This window comes from Homo sapiens, chromosome 9, assembly GCF_000001405.40.
Source record: "Homo sapiens chromosome 9, GRCh38.p14 Primary Assembly".
NCBI classification, from domain to species: domain Eukaryota; kingdom Metazoa; phylum Chordata; class Mammalia; order Primates; family Hominidae; genus Homo; species Homo sapiens.
In genome coordinates this window covers 77,254,303-77,274,423 of record NC_000009.12, presented here as the reverse complement: position 1 = coordinate 77,274,423, position 20,121 = coordinate 77,254,303, and the positions used below count along the sequence as shown (strand labels likewise).

At 37.5% G+C, this 20,121-nt stretch overlaps 1 protein-coding gene across 4 annotated transcripts in view, besides 2 other annotated features; it reads right to left on the bottom strand.

The window, feature by feature from the left end:
- Positions 1-20,121, bottom strand: part of VPS13A (vacuolar protein sorting 13 homolog A) — a 244,004-nt gene that overhangs the window by 147,114 nt on the left and 76,769 nt on the right. For all 4 annotated transcript variants that reach the window (NM_033305.3, NM_001018037.2, NM_015186.4 and 1 more), the window contains exons 23-24: positions 14,200-14,338; positions 1,060-1,144 (exon numbers count right to left, since the gene is read on the bottom strand). In NM_033305.3, coding sequence (NP_150648.2) covers positions 1,060-1,144; positions 14,200-14,338 — 224 coding nt within the window. The remainder of the gene's footprint in view (positions 1-1,059; positions 1,145-14,199; positions 14,339-20,121) is intronic.
- Positions 5,272-6,271: an enhancer, noted in NCBI's record as "H3K27ac-H3K4me1 hESC enhancer chr9:79883069-79884068 (GRCh37/hg19 assembly coordinates)". NCBI's record gives its function as "activates a minimal SCP1, AML or CMV promoter by ChIP-STARR-seq in primed H9 embryonic stem cells {active_cell/tissue: H9 hESC(primed)}" and the evidence as "EXISTENCE:reporter gene assay evidence [ECO:0000049][PMID:30033119]".
- Positions 6,272-7,272: an enhancer, noted in NCBI's record as "H3K27ac-H3K4me1 hESC enhancer chr9:79882068-79883068 (GRCh37/hg19 assembly coordinates)". NCBI's record gives its function as "activates a minimal SCP1, AML or CMV promoter by ChIP-STARR-seq in primed H9 embryonic stem cells {active_cell/tissue: H9 hESC(primed)}" and the evidence as "EXISTENCE:reporter gene assay evidence [ECO:0000049][PMID:30033119]".

The following is a 20,121-nucleotide window of genomic DNA, read 5'->3' as shown; positions in this document are numbered from 1 at the left end:
TCGGACTCTCGCTCTGTCACCAGGCTGGAGCACAGTGGCACGATCTCTGCTCACTGCAACCTCCGCCTCCTGGGTTCAGGCGATTCTCCTGCCTCAGCTTCCCGAGTCGCCGGGACTACAGGTGTGCAGCACCACTCCCAGCTAATTTTTGTACTTTTAGTAGAGGTGGGGTTTCACCATGTTGGCCAGAATGGTCTCGATCTCTTGACCTCATGATCCGCCCGCCTTGGCCTCCCAAAGTGCTGGGATTACAGGCATGAGCCACTGCGCCTGGCTGGTCCTTGTCATTTTCTGTTCAACTTTATACCAAAAAAATCCCATTGCAAAAGCAACTTTAAGGAATTGTGCTATTTAAAATAAATTTTAGTTAAAATTTCCTGAAAATATACAAATATCTGCTATTGCCTTAAATTTCTTATATGACTACAGAAGACCAAAATACGCCACTCGAAAACATGTCTTTTTGGCATAAGGATTACACTGAGTCAATTATTTTAAGAAACAGCAGACACAGGAAAAGCTCTGAAGACAGATCCTAAGTTTCCCTTTTCTAAGGGAAATTAACATTTATAAGAGAAATCTACCTTGTAAAGGTATCTTCCTTTCTGTACCAGGGAAGATGACTCTTACTCCCAAGACATTCTTATCAACGGAGAAAACACTGACATATCTGCGTAACAAACTTTACCCTTGTGTACCATACTTTTTCTGGTCGCCTTCCCATATACCTTGCCTCCCCAGCAACCCCTATCCCTGAAGCCCAAAACCTCTTTTCCTTTGTTTAAGCCCAAACTGGTATATAAACCCAAATTTTAATCACCACCTTGAGTTACTCATTCCTGAGCTTCTTGCATGTACCCATGAAATATGAATGCTAGTAAATCTGCTTGTTTTCTCATGTTAATCTGTCTTCCATTCATAGAGCCTCAGTCAAGAACCTAGATTTTAAAAGGAAAAGATATTTTCCTTCCTCTGTGTGGTCCTTTGAGAAAAATATGCCTCAAAACAGAAATTATTTTAATAAAATAAGAAAAATATCCTTAAGCAGTTTCATTTTACCATCTTCAGAAACAGATGGAAGTTCCAAGAGAGGAATTATTTTCTGTGAAATCTGTGATGTTCCCAAAGAAGTAGATGTTTGAATCTGAAAGAAAAGTAATTCAATGTTGATTAGCACAAAAATGTTTATTCACCGCTTATTCAAAAAATGTTTATTCAAAGTTCTACAACAGTTTTGACAAAAAGCTATCCAATTTGAATTAACTGAGAAGATAATCAGGTTTAAATTAGAAAAATACATTATAAAACGCAGATTTTAAAGAAGTAGTTTTACAATTTTAAGGCTAAATAAAAATTGTAGAACTGTTTTAATAATGTCCTTGATGACAGGCTTTGAGTAGAAACAGATCTTATATTTTAAGTCAACATAGTATTAAATCAGGACATCTGTGAGGAACACACAAGTCACAATACTTAAAGCCTCTAGAATTGAGGAACTTACTTTTATTTTTGATCTCTGAAAGGTATTTCAGGAAATTTACTTTTTTACAGTTTGGAGAAATACAGCATATATAAAAACAAATTTTGCAGTTTAAAAAAATAATAATAAAAGACACATCTGAATTTTCCAACCCAGCCAAGCAATAAAACATTACCACATCCTGACCTAGAAGCATCTTCTTATGTGTTCCTCCCGGATCTCATTCCTCCTTGTCACGTTCCCTACCTCTCATCATGATCTTGCTTTTATTTAGTTGTTTGTACTAAAGCACCTATGAATGATTATCTAAATAATGCATCGTTTACCCCTGCCTCTTTCCAAACTGTAGCATATATGACATACATTTTCCTGTGACTTCCTTTACAAAACAATGTTTAAATTTTAACCACACTGATAGTTAACTGAATTTTACTGTGATATTGTATTGCACTGATGAAGAAACCACTACTTATTTGTCCACTATACTGTTGGTGAGTATCTGTGTTGCTTATAGATTTTTGCTTTTGCTTGTAGCACTACTATAAACATCCTTGATATGCCCATAGGTGCTTGTGGATAAAACTTTCCCAAACAGTAAAATTATATATGTTCACCTTATTGAGCACTATCAAACCATTTTCAAAAGTGGTGATAAGACATTACACTAACACCAGCAGCACAGTTTCTATCTCTCCATATCCTCACAATGCTTAGGGTGTTCAAAGATTTCAAATTATATCAGTCTCATTGGCCATGTCATCCTAGTTTTAATTACAATTTCACAAATGCATAACGGTTACATATCATATCAAACACAAATAGCTTCCTTGGTTATTTGTGTTTGCCATTCTGTGAAATTCTGCTCATTTTGGAAGCAGCAGCAGCATTTTTTTTAAGCACATTATAATCTACTACACGAAGTACATAAACTCTAAAGTTCAATACATTTTCAGAAAGTAAACACACTCAACCTACCAACCACCCAGGTCCAGTATGAAACATTACAAGCAACTCATAAGCCTCCCTTAAGCTCCTTGCAATCATTAGGCATCCTCCCAAAAGTAACAACTATGTTACCTTAATTTCAACTTTTAATGTTTTGAAATTTTTGTATCTTACATTTATTAGTGAAACTGGGCTATTATTTTCCTCTTTTATAATGTAGTTGTTAGGTTTTAGAATACAAGTTTTGTTAAGTTCTTAAATGAATTGCCAAGTAATCCTGCGTTCTATTCCCTAAAATGCCCTGGAGTTTTGAGGGAAGCTCCCCCTACACTCAATCACTGCCCATCACTGCTACATGTATTAGTATTTTTTTTCCTGAGTAGTAGTCTACTGTATGAATATACTATTTTTCCTTATCCATTCACTTCTGGATAGACAATTGGGTTTTATGCAACTTTTTACTATTATGAATAACCCTACTGTGAGTATTCTAGTTCAAGTCTTTTGGTAGGCATGTGACTTCATTTCTCTTGGGTAAAAACCTAGGAGTAGAATTCCCAAGTCATATGGTAAGTATATACTTAACCTTATTTTTAAAAACTACCAAACTAAATTACAAAGGGTTATGCTATTTTCAAGTTTCACAAGTAACATATGAGAGTTTTAAATCCTTGTCATGGCAACACCTTGACATGGTATTGCCATTCTTCTTATTTTTAGCCATTCTAACCATTGTGTAGTAGTATTTCTATGTGGCTTTGATTTGCATTTTTCTGGTGAGTAATAAAGTCGAACATCTTTTCATGCTACCTGTTTAGTCATTTATTATTGAGCTGTTAGTCTTCTCATATATTCTAGATACAAGTCTGGACTTGTAAAAATATTTTTGCAACTATTTTTCCCAAGTGGATGGTTAGATGGTTTGCCTTTTCACCTTTTTTAACAATGTCTTCCAAACAGCAGAAAAATTTAATTTTTATAAAGTCCAATTTATTTATTTTTTTCTCCTGTTATATTTGCGCTTTTTATATCCTAAGGTATCTTTACCTACTGCAAGGATTCAAAATTTTAACCTACATTTTTTGTTCCAGAAATTACACTTGTGGACTTTATATTTAGGTCTATGCTTCAAGTTAAATTCCGCATATAAGATAAGGGTTGAAATTAATTTACTTTCCACATGGAAATCCGGTTGTTTCAGAACCATATGTTGAAAAGGTGATCCTTCCCCCACTTAGCTAGGCTGGCATCTTTGTAATAAATCAAACACATATTAACCACATATTGTACAATTTTTTTTTTGTTTTTGAGACAGATTCTCCTTCTGTCACCCAGGCTGGAGTGTAGTGGCACAATCTCGGCTCACTGCAACCTCCGCCTCCCAGGTTCAAGTGATTGTTGTGCCACAGCCTTCTGAGTAGCTGGGACTACAGGTGTGCACCACCACACCCAGCTAATTTTTATATTTTTAGTAGAGACGGGATTTCATCGTGTTGGCCAGGCTGGTCTTGAACTCCTGGCCTCAAGTGATTTGACCAGCTGCAATGAGAAATAAGACGATGCCTTCAACATTTTACTTAGAAATCTCCACAGCTAAATATCCAACTTCATCACTAGAACATAATTTAACCAAGATCTTTGCCACTTTATAACAAGGACCACATTCCCTTCAATGTCAAATAACATGTTCCTCATTTCCACTTGAGGTCTCAACAGAAACAGCTTGAACGTCCATATTTTATATCAATAATTTATTAAACGATAGAATCTAGGTTTTTTTCTAACATGTGCCTCAAAATTCTTCCAGTCTCTGCCCATTACCCAGTTCTAAAGCCACTTCAACATTTCTAAGTGCTTGTTAAGCAACAACTCACTGCTTGGTACCAAAACGTATATGAGATTGCCAGAGCTGCCATAACAAAATAGCATAGACTGGGTGACTTTAACAACAGAAATCTATGTTCTCACAGTTCTGGAGGCCACCTCTATCGTTAACTTGCAGATGACCTCCTTTCTGTGTCCTCACATGGGCTTTCCTCAGTGTGCATGCATCTCTGGTGTCTCTGTGAGACCAAATTTCCTTTTCTTATAAAGACACCAGTCAAACTGGATTAGCGCCCACCCTAGTGGTCTCATTTTAACTTAATCACTGCTGTAAAGAACCTATCTGTAAATACAGTCACAATGTGAAATAGCAGAATTAGGGTTCAATATATAAATTTTGAAGGGCACAATTCAGCCCATACACTATGTACAAATTTAACAACATATATTAGCAAACGGATGCTTAAGCTACAAATAACCAATTTTTAAAAACTTAAAAAGACCTAAGCAAATGGAGAGATATACCATGTTAATGAACTGAAAGACTCAATACTGCTAAAATGTTAATTCTCCCAAATTAATGATACAATTTCTATCCAAATCTCAGCCAGAATTTTTGTGGAAATTGATAAGTTGATTCTAAAAGGCAAAGGAATCAGTCGAAAACATTTTGGAAATACAAAAAGTTGGAGGACTAACCTTTCTGGATTTCAAGACATGAAGTTATAGTATAATTAAGACAGTATGATATCAACAAAAGGACAGAAACAGATGGAAATGATAGACACAGAAATCACTGGAAGAGTCTGAAATAGACTTACACATATATAGTCAACTCAATAGTAAAAGAATAGTCTTTTTAACAAACAAAATGGAAATAACTAAGTGCAGATGTAAAACTAGAAAGAGGATCCCATCACAAGCACCATATAGAAAAATTAAATGGATGAGAGACCTAAGTATAAAACCTAACTCTAAAAAATTTCTAGAAAAAAACATAGGGAAAAATCTTCTTGACCTTAAATTAGGCAAAAATTGCAGAGATGTGATACAAAAAGCTCAATATCTAGAGAAAATATTGCTAAAGTCAATTGTATCAAAATTAAACTTTTGCCCTCCAAAAGACAATTAAAGAAACAAAAAAACTCACCAACAGACTAGGAAAAGAATACAACAAAACACTAAAGTATTCAGGAGTAATGGGACATTAACTCACTTTCTTTTTTTTTTTTTTTGAGATGGAGTATCGCTCTGTCGCCCAGGCTGGAGTGCAGTGGCGCAATCTTGGCTCACTGCAACCTCCACCTCCAGAGTTCAAGTGATTCTCCTACCTCAGCCTCCTGAGCAGTTGGGATTACAGATGCCCACCACCATGCCTGGCTAATTTTTATATTTTTAGTACAGACGGGGTTCCACCATGTTGGCCAGGCTGGTCTCGAACTCCTAACCTCAAGTGATCTGCCTGCCTCGGGCTCCCTAAGTGCTGGGATTACAGATGTGAGCCACCACGCCCAGGTAGTAACATACTCTCTAACAGACTGGGGATAAAACTTCTCTACACTGGTGGCTGGCAAGATGGCTGAATATGAACAACTCCAACCTGCAGCTCCAGGCAATATCAATGCAGAAGGCCAGTGATTTCCGCATTTCCAACTGAGGTACCCGGCTCATCTCAGTGGGACTGGTTAGACAGTAGATGCAACCAACGGAGGGCGAGCTGAAGCAGAGTGGGGCTTTGCCTCACCCCGGAAGCACAAAGGGATCAGGGAACTCCCTCCCATAGCCAAAGGAAGCCCTGAAGGACTGTGCCATGAGGAACGGTGCACTCCAGCCCAGATACTACACTTTTCCCACAGTCTTCGCAACCGGCAGACCAGGAGATTCCCTCGGGTGCCTACACCAACAGGGCCCAGGGTTTCAAGAACAAAACTGGGCAACCATTTGGGCAAACATCAAGCTAGCTGAAGGAGCTTTCTTTCATACCCCAGTGGCACCTGGAATGCCAGCAAGATGAACCTTTCACTCCCTTGGAAAGGGGGCTGAAGCCAGTCTTGCTCAGCGGATCCCACTCCCATGGAGCCCAGCAAGCTAAGATCCACTGGCTTGAAATTCTTACTGCCAGCACAGCAGTCTGAAGTCAACCTGGGATGCTTGGTGGGGGGAGCGGGAATCACCACTGCTGAGGCTTGAAAAGGCAGCTTTTCCCTCACAGTGTAAACAAAGTTGCCTGGAAGTTCAAATTGGGCGGAGCCCACTGCAGCTCAGCAAAGCCACTGTAGCCAGACTGCCTCTCTAGACTCCTCCACTTTGGACAGGGCATCTCTGAAAGAAAGGTAGCAGCCCAGTCAGGGGCTTATAGATAAAACTCCCATCTCCCTGGGACGGAGCACCTGGGGGAAGGGGCGGCTGTGGGTGCAGCTTCAGCAGACTTAAACATTCCTGCTTGCTGGCTCTGAAGAGAGCAGTGGATCTCCCAGCAAAGCACTCAAACTCTGCTAAGAGACAGACTGCCTTCTCAAGTGGGGCCCTGACCCCCATGCCTCCTGACTGGGAGACACCTCCCAGCAGGGGTCGACAGACACCTCATACAGGAGAGCTCTGGCTGGCATCTGGCATGTGCCCCTCTGGGACGAAGCTTCCAGAGGAAGGAACAGGCAGCAATCTTTGCTGTTCTGCAGCCTCCGCTGGTGATACCCAGGGAAACAGGGTCTGCAGTGGACCTCCAACAAACTCCAGCAGACCTGCAGCAAAGGGGTCTGACTGTTAGAAGGAAAACTAACATACAGAAAGGAACAGCATGAACATCAACAAAAAGGACGTCCACACAGAAACCCCATCCGAAGGTCACCAACTTCAAAGACTCAAGGTAGATAAATCCACAAAGATTAGGGAAAAACCAGTGCAGAAAGGCTAAAATTCCAAAAACCAGAATGCCTCTTCTCCTCCAAAGGATCACAACTCCTTGCCAGCAAGGGAACAAAACTGGATGGAGAATGAGTTTGCAGAATTGACAGAAACAGGCTTCAGAAGGTGGGTAATAACAAACTCCTCTGAGCTAAAGCAGTATGTTCTAACCCAATGCAATGAACCTAAGAGTGTTGAAAAAAGGTTAGAGGAAATGCTAACTAGAATAACCAATTTAGAGAAGAACATAAATGACCTGATGGAGTGGGAAAACACAGCATGAGAACTTCGTGAAGCATATACAAGTATCAATAGCCAAATCGATCAAGCGGAAGAAAGGATATCAGAGATTGAAGATCAACTTAGTGAAATAAAGCATGAAGACAAGATTAGAGAAAAAAGAATGAAAACGAACAAACAAAGCTTCCAAGAAATATGGGACTATGTGCAAAGACCAAACCTACATTTGACTGGTGTACCTGAAAGTGACGGGGACAATAGAACCAAGTTGGAAAACACTCTTCAGGATATTATCCAGGAGAACTTCCCCAACCTAGCAAGATAGGCCAACATTCAAATTCAGGAAATACAGAGAACACTACTAAGACATTCCTCAATAAGAGCAACCCCAAGACACATAATCGTCAGATTCACCAAGGTTGAAATGAAAGAAAAAATGTTAAGGGCAGCCACAGAGAAACGTCAGGTTACCCACAAAGGGAAGACCATCAGACTAACAGCAGAGCTCTCTGCAGAAACCCTACAAGCCAGAAGAGAGTGGGCGCCAATATTCAACATTCTTAAAGAATAAAGCAAGTTCTTAAGAGACCTACAAAGAGACTTAGACTCCCACACAACAACAGCAGGAGACTTTAACACCCCACTGTCAATATTAGACAGATCAAGAAGACAGAAAACTAACAAGGATATTCAGAACTTGAACTCAGCTCTGGACCAAGTGGACCTAATAGACATCTACAGAACTCTCCACCCCCAAATCAACAGAATATACATTCTTCTCAGAACCACATCACATTTATTCTAAAATTGATCACATAATTGAAGGTAAAACAAGCTTCAGCAAATGCAAAAGAATGGCAGTCATAACAAACAGTCTCTCAGACCACAGTGCAATCCAGTTAGAACTCAGGATTAAGAAACTCACTCAAAACCGCACAACTACATGGAAACTGAACAACCTGCTCCTGAATGACTACTGGGTAAATAATGAAATTAAGGCAGAAGTAAGTTCTTTGAAACCAATGAGAACAAAGACACAACCAGAATCTCTGGGACACAGCTAAAGCAGTGTTTAGAGGAAAATTTATAGCACTAAAATCCCCACAGGAGAAAGCGGGAAAGATCTAAAATCAACACCCTAACATCACAATTAAAGAACCAGAGAAGCAAGAGCAAGAGGAAACAAATTCAAAAGGTAGCAGAAGACAAGAAATAACTAAGATCAGAGCAGAAATGAAGGAGATAGAGACACGAAAAACCCTTCAAAAATATCAGTGAATCCAGGTGCTGGTTTTTTGAAAAGATTAACAAAATACATAGACTGCTAGCCAGACTAATAAAGAAAAGAGAAGAATCAAACAGACACAATAAAAAATGCTAAAGAGGATATCACCACTGATTCCACAGAACTACAAACTACTATCAGAGAATACTATAAACACCTCTACACAAATAAACTACAAAAATCTAGAAGAAATGGATAAATTCCTGGACACATACACCCTCTCAAGACTAAATCAGGAAGAAGTCGAATCCCTGAATAGACCAATAACAAGTTCCGAAATTGAGGCAGTAATTAATAGCCTATCAACCAAAAAAAGCCCACGACCAGATAGATTCAAAGCCGAATTCTACCAGAGGCACAAAGAGGAGGTGGTACCAGTCCTTCTGAAACTATCCCAAACAATAGAAAAAGAGGGACTTCTCCCTAACTCATTTTATGAAGCCAGCCTCATCCTGCTACCAAAACATGGCAGAGACACACACAAAAAAGAGAATTTCAGGCTAATATCCCTGATGAACGTCAATGTGAAAATCCTCAATAAACTACTGGCAAACCAAATCCAGCAGCACATCAAAAAGCTTATCCATCACAATCAAGTTGGCTTCATCTCTGAGATGCAAGGCTGGTTCAACATATGCAAATCAATAAACGTAATCCATCACATAAACTGAACCAGTGACAAAAACCACACGATTACCTCAATAGATGCGGAAAAGGCCTTCGATAAAATTCAACACCCTTCATGCTAAAAACTCTCAATAAACTAGGTATTGATGGAATGTATCTCAAAATACTAACAGCTATTTATGACAAAGCAACAAACAATATCATACTGAATGGGCAAAAACTGGAAGCATTCCCTTTGAAAACTGGCACAAGACAAGAATGCCCTCTCTCACCACTCCTATTCAACATAGTATTGGAAGTTCTGGCCAGGGAAATCAGGCAAGAGAAAGAAATAAAGGGTATTCAAATAGGAAGAAAGGAAATCAAATCGTCTCTGTTTGCAGATGACATGACTGTATATTTAGAAAACCCCAATGCCTCAGCCCAAAATCTCCTTAAGCTCATAAGCAACTTCAGCAAGGTCTCAGGATACAAAATCAATCTGCAAAAATCACAAGCATTCCTATACACCAATAATAGACAAACAGAGAGCCAAATAATCAGTGAACTCCCATTCACAATTGCTTCAAAGAGAATAAAATAACCTAGGAATCCAACTTACAAGGGATGTGAAGGACCTCTTCAAGGAGAACTACAAAACACTGCTCAAAGAAATAAGAGAGGACACAAACAAATGGAAAGACATTCCATGCTCACTGATAGGAAGAATCAATATTGTGAAAATGGCCATACTGCCCAAGGTAATTTATAGATTCAAGGCTATCCCCATTAAGTTATCATTGACTTTCTTCACAGAATTCAAAAAAACTACTTTAAAGTTCATATGGAACCAAAAAAGAGCCCGTATAGCCAAGACAATCCTAAGCAAAAAGAACAAAGCTGGAGGCATCACGCTACCTGACTTCAAACTATACTACAAGCCTACGGTAACCAAAACAGCAATGGTACTGGTACCAAAACAGAGATATAGACCAATGGAACAGAACAGGGGCCTCAGAAATAACACCACACATCTAGAACCATCTGATCTTTGACAAATCTGACAAAAACAAGCAATGGGGGAAAGATTCCCTATTTAAAGACAAATCTGACAAAAACAAGCAATGGGGGAAAGATTCCCTATTTAATAAATGGTGTTGGGAAAACTGGCTAGCCATATGCAGAAAACTGAAACTGGACCACTTCCTTAGACCTTATGCAAAAATTAATTCAAGATGGATTAAAGACTTAAATGTAAGACCTAAAACCATAAAAACTCTAGAAGGAAACCTAGGCAATACCATTCAGGATACAGGAATGGGCAAAGACTAAATGACTAAAACACCAAAAGCAATGGCAACAAAAGCCAAAATTGACAAATGGGATCTAATTAAACTAATGAGCTTCTGCACAGCAAAAGAAATTATCATCAGAGTGAGCAGGCAACCTAAAGAATGGGAGAAAATTTTTGCAATCTATCCATCTGACAAAGGACTAAAATCCAGAATCTACAAAGAACTGAAAAAAATTTACAAGTAAGAAACCAACAACCCCATCAAAAAGTAGGCGAAGGATATGAACAGACACTTCTCAAAAGAAGACATTTATGCGGCCAACAAACATATGAAAAAAAGCTCATCATCACTGGTTATTAGAGAAATGCAAATCAAAACAACAATGAGATACCATCTCATGCCAGTTAGAATGTCGGTCATTAAAAAGTTGGGAAAAGGGGCCGGGCTCAGTGGCTCACACCTGTAATCCCAGCACTTTGGGAGGCAGAGGCAGGCAGATCACGAGGTCAGGAGATTGAGACCATCCTGGCTAAAATGGTGAAACCCCATCTCTACTAAAAATACAAAAAAATTAGCTGGGCGTGGTGGTGAGCACCTGTAGTCCCAGCTACTCGGGAGGCTGAGGCAGGAGAATGGCGTGAACCCAGGAGGTGGAGCTTGCAGTGAGCCAAGATCGCACCACTGCACTCCAGGCTGGGCGACAAAGCGAGACTCCGTCTCAAAAAAAAAAAAAAAAAGTTGGGAAACAACAGATGCTAGAGATGATGTTGCAAAACAGGAACACTTTTACACTGCTGGTGGGAGTGTAAATTAGTTCCAGCATTGTGGAAGACAGTGTGGCAATTCCTCAAGGATCTAGAACCAGAAATACCATTTGACCCAGCAATCCCATTACTGGGTACATACCCAAAGGATTATAAATCATCCTACTATAAAGACACATGCACATGTATGTTCAATGCAGCACTGTTCACAATAGCAAAGACTTAGAACCAACCCAAATGCCCATCAATGATAGACTGGATAAAGAAAATGCTGCACATATATACCATAGACTACTATGCAGCCATAAAAAAGGATGAGTTCATGTCCTTTGCAAGGACATGGATGAAGCTGGAAACCATCATTCTCAGCAAACTAACACAGGAACATAAAACCAAACACTGCATGTTCTCACTCATAAGTGGGAGTTGAACAAGGAGAACACATGAACACAGGGAGGGGAACATCACACACTGGGGCCTGTCGAGGGGTCGGGGGCTAGGGGAGGGATAGCTTTAGGAGAAATACCTAATGTAGATGACGGGTTGATGGGTGCAGCAAACCACCATGGCACGTGTATACCTATGTAACAAACCTGCATGTTCTGCACATGTATCCCAGAACTTAAAATATAATAATAAAAAAAAACCTTCTTTACACTATTTTTGGAATGTTTCAAGTTTGAAACTACTTCAAAAGAAAAGCATTTAAACATGAGTAAAGAACCCCCTGTTACCCCCGAAAATGGAGGGAAATGTGAATATATTTTTTTTCTTTCTGAAATTCTCTTGGAAAGGGAAAAGTCACATAATACAAAGTCCAGAAATCATGAAGGAAAAAAAAATTGACTATGTAAAAAATAAAACGCTTCTGCCTGGCAAAAATAAATTTACATATGAGATAAAAAACAACCAAACAATAAAATGAGGAAAAAACAGTAATTTTAAATGACAAGCAGGTTACTTCCTTAATTAGACAACCATAACCCAATAGAAAAAAGACATGAACAGCAGTTTCCAAAAACAGAAATTAAAATAGTAAACTTAGGAAAGTATGTTCTACTTATTTAAAAAAGCATATCAAAACCAGAAGACATTTTTTTCACTTCGAATAAAATTTTAACATTTGCTAATACTCAGTAATGAAAGCAGAGAAAGATATTCATTCACTGTTAGCAAACTATAAGTTAAGCAAATCTGGGCTGGGCACAGTGGCTCACGCCTGTAATCCCAGTACTTGGGAGCCCAGTGCAGGCAGATCACTTGAGGTCAGGATTTTAAGACCAGCCTGGCCAACATGGTGAAACTCCATCTCGGCTAAAAATACAAAAATCAGCTAAGTGTAGTGGCACGCACTTGTAGTCCCAGCTACTTGGGAGGCTGAGATGGGACAACCGCTTGAACCTGGGAGACGGAGGTTGCAGTGAGCCAAGGTTGTGCCACTGTACTCCAGCCCGAGCAAAAGAGGGAGACTTCGTCCCAAAAAAAAAAAAATTTTTTTTTTTTTGGCAAAATAATCAAAATTTAAAATTCACATCCTCTTTTACTCAACAATTCCATTTCTAGGAATTTATCCTATGAATAAAAGTATAAGCAAATATATATATACACACATATATATGTATATATATGAGGAAGTTCAAAGCAGTATTTTTCATAACTGTAAACACTCATAATGTGAATATCCATCAAAAGAAGATATATTAAGCAAAAGATGGTATATGCAGAAAATGAAATACTATATCACCATAAACAAATGAGGTAGATCTGTATGTGCTAACATAAAAATTTATCTAAGGCATATATGATAATAATGGTGAAAATAATACAGATTCAGAATAGTGTGTATAATGATTTCATTTAATTTTAAAAATAAAAGAATACAGGCCGGGCACGGTGGTTCACGCCTGTAATCCCAGCACTTTGGAAGGCCGAGGCGGGTGGATCACAAGGTCAGGAGTTCAAGACCAGCCTGGCCAAGATGGTGAAACCCTGTCTCTACTAAAAATGCAAAAAAAAATTAGCTGGCGTGGTGGCGGGCGCCTGTAATCCCAGCCACTCAGGAGGCTGAGGCAGAGAACTGCTTGAACCCAAGAGACAGAGGTTGCAGTGAGCCGAGATTGCGCCACTGCACTCCACCTTGGGTGACAGAGATAGGCTCTGTTTCAAAAAAAAAAAATGAATATATACATGTATGTATACACACACATACTACATACACACACACATGCATGTTCTTGTGCATGTGTGTACTAGTATATGCCACAAAAATTTTTTTAAAAACTAGAGAAGCAGTAGTTAACAGTGTTATTGCTCAGGAGAGGGATTGGAGGCTGCAGAAATTAGAAAAGTAGATTTATTATTTTATATCTTTCTTAACTATTTATACTTTTTACCATTTCAATTTCTCTCTCAACATGTAATTTTCTGGCTGGGCGTGGTGGCTCACGTCTGTAAGCCCAGCACTTTGGGAGGCCGAGGCGGGCAGATCACAAGACCAGGAGACCGAGACCATCCTGGCTAACACGGTGAAACCCCGTCTCTGCTAAAAATACAAAAAATTAGCCGGGCGTGGTGGCGGGCGCCTGTAGTCCCAGATACTCGGGAGGCTGAGGCAGGAGAATGGCGTGAGCCTGGGAGGCGGAGCTTGCAGTGAGCAGAGATCACGCCACTGCACTCCAGCCTGGTGACAGAGCGAGACTCCATCTCAAAAAAAAAAAAAAAAAAAAAAAGTAATTTTCTTAATGTCTATTCAAAACAAATTGCAAATTGTCTTATATAAAATTCCTGTGATTGTTTGAAATACTATTTGTGGACTTTCTTAATTCATGCTTATATTAATTTTGAAAGTAACATTACCTGGAATGATTTGACAGGGGCAGATACTTCAGTTACTGGTTCAGGTTTTGGAATGCTTTCAATCAATTCCATAATCCCTTGTAGTTTTTTATCTGAGATTCGTAAAGAAATAAGAGGTAACTTTCCATAAATCTTGAATCTGTTTTGAAAAGATAAAAATAAGTAATTATAAAGGAATTATTCTGATTTAAGTGCACTAATTAAAAAGACTGTTCTCAAATTATCTGAATCAAATGTGATTTTAAACACTAAAAATCTCTATTCCAATTTCCGTCTTACCGTATTAACCAGTTTCATTAGATGGGCTAAACTCATTATTTTTCAGAGGTTTATGTTCTTATTTCATGTAATGTCCTTCTACTGTTTGCTATATACAATTGACAATTACTACTAATCAAGTGTTTCTCATGTGACAGGCACTGAGGAAAGCACTTTACATGCATTATTGTAAACAGTCCTCACAATCTATGAGGCAGACAACCTATTTTTGCTCTCTATTTAAGTTCCTATATGTACATGCTTCCTATGAGAAAACTAAGGTTTGGCAGTGCAAATAGCCTGCTCATGAGACTATGTATCAAAGATCATTGAGCAAAACCACATCAGAGTGCTTTATTATTCTTTTAATTGCCTTGACAGTCTCCTTTGAGAGAGACAGAAAGTTAGTTTTCACTATCAGAGAGAGAGAGAGAAAGTTTTCACTCCCCATTTTTATCCCTGCATTTTCCCTAAAAATTACTTTTTCCACGTACGCACACTGATTACTTACGTTATCTTTCTAAAAATGTACTGGAGTCCTACAGAAAATTACAAGCTTTCTTTTATTTCCAATACCTTAAATATTTGTAATTAATCACAAGCGTAGTAGTAGTTTAACTTTGTTAAACATTATGAATCGGTTCTCTTAATGCACTTAAACTTTTTTTCACTTTCTTGAAAAATCTGCAAGTTGCGCAGTCTAAAGATGCTGGGTACCAAAACAGTATCTACCAAATAGCAAGCATCCTTTTATTTGCCTTCAACTTAACGCAGCTCAACTTTCAAGGGAATGTTCCTGACACCTGTGGAGTTTCAGGATTTGACATATCATATCCACTTTATACTGCTCACAATATTATAAAATAGAAACCAAATAACTTCTAAGATTTCATCTTTCTAAGTTAAGTCATTGTCATTTCTGCCCTGTACCCTTATAATCAGCTATTTTAATTCCTGCTATGCTGTACATATTCCCTGCATCACAAGACATAAATTCTTCCTAAGCATATACTGACAGAGCAAGTCCAAACCAAGATAAAAGCTGCCCTTTTCTTCCCTCAGAGAAATATCACCTACTTTTTCTGGTACCCTGTAACTTCCAAGATTATAGCATACTTACCAAGAAGAAAAGTACTTAAACTATGCTAAAAAAAATCAATTCTTAGTCATATGCTTACAACAAGAAATCGCACAGATCTTTAATCTTTATCACAGAATGAAAAACTTTACAAGAAACAGTAGAAAAGAGTAAACAAGCAGCAGACATAATTTGGGAGAAATGAAAAGAATTAAGCCTTTTCTCTTTAAATTGAACCATATCTAAAGCTGGATTTGAAAAAAAACAAGGGAATGCGTAGCATGGTTTTCTTTCCTTCTGTCTCTTAAACCAAATTCTAGCCATTCCTCTGCCTCAAGACTCTCAGTGCATGCTTTGATTTTCTAAGAAAAGAAAATCTAGGAGAGTAAGATTTAGGGCCCTGGACAATATTTGTTAGTAGATAGAGTCACTATGAGGTAAAGGTCAACAAAAAAGAGTGTGGGTCTCTCCCTTTTACATGTTAAGTATAATAAGTATTAAAAACAATGTCCACCCCATGTACCATATAGGAAAAGGCCAGAGTCTCTCTAATTCCCTCTATTCTTCCTAGTACACTTTAACTAGGCATGAAGCCTTCTCATGTTGCCTTGCTAGTAGCAACTCTCCTGGAAGTGTTTGGTAGATGTTAGATGAGAAAAGCCTTTGGTTAAATTTTAAAATAGATCTGTGCCTGAGGTCTGAATATTTGTAAGGGAGAAAAAAGGTGCTGTTACAAGGAAGAAGTTAAATGACTACCTACAGTCTAAAACTATTTAGAAATAAATAATCTAAATGGCCCAGTCTAGTTCAACAGACTTCTCTACTTAGGATCTCAGGCACATAGCTTCAGCTAACAATGAAATATAATAATCCCAGTAAATGTAAATACATGGATGAGTATAAAGCAAATGTTATTAGAATTTTGGTTTATAACTCTACTATTTATTTTCTACATAAGTTAAAAGACAAATGCATAAGAAATAATTACAATTCTTTGTTAATGGGTATAGAATACATAAAAATATAATCTGGGACATCAATAAGATAAACTGGAGGGGGCAAAACAGGAAACAAGTAGAGTTTTTGCATGCAATTGAAGCTAACTTGGTATCAGTTTTATTTTTCACTTTTTAAAATTTTTGTCACCCAAGCTGGAGTGCAGTGACATAATCATAACCCACCGTAGCCTCAACCTCCTGGGCTCAAGCTATCCTCCCACCTTAACTTCCCAAGTAGCTAGGACTATAGGCATGCACCATTATGCCCAGCTAATTTTATTTAATTATTTATTTACTTATTGTAGAGACAGGGTCTTACTACATTGGCCAGGCTGGTCTCAAACTCCTTGCCTCAAGCAATCCTACCACCTCGGCCTCTCAAAGTGCTGGGATTACAGGTATAAGACTATGCAACCTGCCTCAATCTTAAATAGGCTGTTATAGCCTGGGCAACATAGCAAGACCCATCTCTACAAAAAAATTTAAAAATTAGCTGAGTGTAGTGACGTGTGCCTGTAGTCCCAGCTACTCAGGAGGACAAGGCAGGAGGATCACTTGAGCACAGGAGTTCAATGCTGCAGTGAGCTACAACCACAACACTGTTCTCTAGCCTAGGTGACAGAACAAGACCCTGTCTAAAAAAATAAAGAAATAATAAATAAATAGACTGTTATAACTTGAGGATATTATACACAATCTCTATGGTAACCACAAAGAAAATACTTGTAGAATATACAAAACTGGAAATGAGAGAGGAATCAAAGCATGTCACACACAAAAATCCACTGAACACAAAGGGCACCATTAAAGGAGGAAATGAGGGATCAAAAAAGCTGTAAGACATACAGAAAGCAAATAACAATATGACAAAAGTAAGTCCTCCCCATCTGTATTTACTTTAAATGTAAATATATTTTTTCTCAATTAAAAACTTCAAGTGACAAAATGGATTAAAAAACAGGATGCAACTACATACTGTCTACAAGAGATCACGTTAACTCATAGAAAACACACAGGTTAAAAGTGAAAAAAAAAATGAAGAAAGACATTCCATGCAAATAATCACCAAAAGAGAGCAGGGATGCCTGTAACAAAAACAGCCAAAATAGACTGCAAATCAAAAACTGTTACAAGCAATAAAGAAGGACATTACATAATGATAATGAAAGTATAACTTCACCAAGAAGACATAACAATTATAAACATATATGTGCCAAACATCAGAGTTCAAAAATATATAAAGCAAGCACTGACACAATTAAGAAGAAGAAACAGACAGTTCCTTGATAATAATAGGAGACTTCAATATCTCACTGTCAATACTGAATAGAAACACCAGGCAGTAGATTAATAAGGAAACAGGGGACTGGACCAATAAAATTGACCAACTGGACTAAAATGACATATATAGAACACTCCATCCAGGAAAATAGACATTTTTCTCAAGTGCATATGAAACATTCTCCAGGACAGATTATACGTCAGGTAAAAAACCAAGCGTCAAAAAATGTTAAAAAAGTGAAATCATAAGAAGTATCTTTTCCAATAATGATGAAATGAGTCTAGAATGCAAGAGTAGAAGGAAAAAGTGTAGAAGTCACAAGTGTATAGAAATTTAAAAACAGATGGTTAAACAAGCAATGAGATCAAAGAAATCACAAGGGAAATTAGAAAATAACTCAAGACAAATGAAAATGAAAATACAACATACCAAAATTCATAGGATGCAGCAAAAGTCTGCCAAAAGCGGACTTTATAGCTGTAAACACCTACATTAATAAAGAAGAAAGACCTAAAATCAATAGCCTAACTTTACACCTTAAGGAACTAGAAAAAGAACAGCAAACTAAACCTAAAGCTACCCGAAATAAAAAAAATAACAAAGATGAAAGCAGAAATAAATAAAATATAGAAAAACAATAGAGAAAAAAATCAACAAAAATGTGAGTTGGTTCTTCAAAATGATCGAGATTGAAAACCTTTAGTTAGACTGAGAAAAAAACAGAAAAGACTCAATTTAAATCAGAAATGAAAGTGGTAACATTACTACTCATTTTACAAAACAAAAAGGGCTGTTAAGAGAGAGACAATTACAAACAATTTTACACCAACAAATGGATAACCTTAAATGAAACAAATTCCAAGAAACACAAATCTACCAACACTGAATTATGAAGAAACAAAATCTGGATAAACTACTATGGAGACTGAATCAGTAATCAAAAACCTCCCAATAAAGAAAACCTCCCACGATCTGATCGCTTCAATAGTGAATTCTACCAAACAATCAAAAACTGAAGAGGCAGGAATACTTTCTAATCCATTCTATAAAGACAGCATTACCCTGATACCAAAGCCAGACAAAGATACTAGAAGAAAAGAAATCTGTAGTCCAATATATCTGAAAAATATTAATGCAAAACCCAAAAGCACAAGCAAACCTAAATCAATAGCCCATTACATGGTTTATATATCATTTACTCTTGGAATTTATTCCTAGAATAAGAGGATTTATTCCTGGAATAAAAGGATTTTTTGCTGGACTCAAGAAATATGATTTAATATATAGAGAGCAATTAAGGTAACATACCCCATTAACAGAATGAAGGAAAAAAATCATCTTGATCATTTTTTACATGATCACATGATCATCTCAAAGCACAGAAAGGATTTGAAAAAATTCAACACGTTTTCATAATAAAAAGTTAGCAAACTAGGAACAGAAGGAAACTACCTCAACATAATAAAGGTCATCCATAAAAACCCCACAGCTGACATCATACTCAATGGTGAAATACTGAAAGCTTTTCCTCTGGGCTCAGGATTAAGGTGAGGATGCCAACCTAAACTACTTCTATTCAAGAGAGTGCTAAAAAATTCTAGACAGACCAATTAGGCAAGAAAGAGAAATAAAAGGCACCCATATCAGAAAGGGAAAAAAATTAACTCCATACACAGATGATAGGATCTTATATGTGGAAAATCTTAAATCTGTTAGAACTTTAGAATCCTAAAACTTAGAATTGTAAACAAATTCACAAGTTGCAGGATATAAAAATCAGTTAAGTTCCCACATACTAACAATAAACAATCCCCCCAAAATTTTTAAATTCATTTACAATAGCATCACAAAGAATAAACTTAAGAAATGAGGCAAGAGACTTTAGTACTGAGACCTAGAAAATGTTGCTGAAATCAAAGACACAAATAAATAGAAAGATATTCCATGTTCATGGACTATAACAGTCAATATTATTAAGATGTCAATACTATTCAAAGGGATCTACAGATTTGATACACTCTTTGTTAGAATCTCTATAACATTTTTTACAAGAAAAGAAAACATGCTAAGATTCATATGGAATACCAAAGGATCCCGAATAGCCAAGACAATCGAAAGAACAAAGTTAAATAACTCACATCTCCTGATTTCAAAACTTCCTATAAAGCTACAGTAATCTAAATAGTGTGGTACAGGAAAATAAAGACATAGAGACCAATGGAATAAAACAGAAAGCCCAAAAATAAGCTCTTGCATATATGGATAAATGATTTTCAACTAGGGTACCAAGGCCATTCAATGAGAAA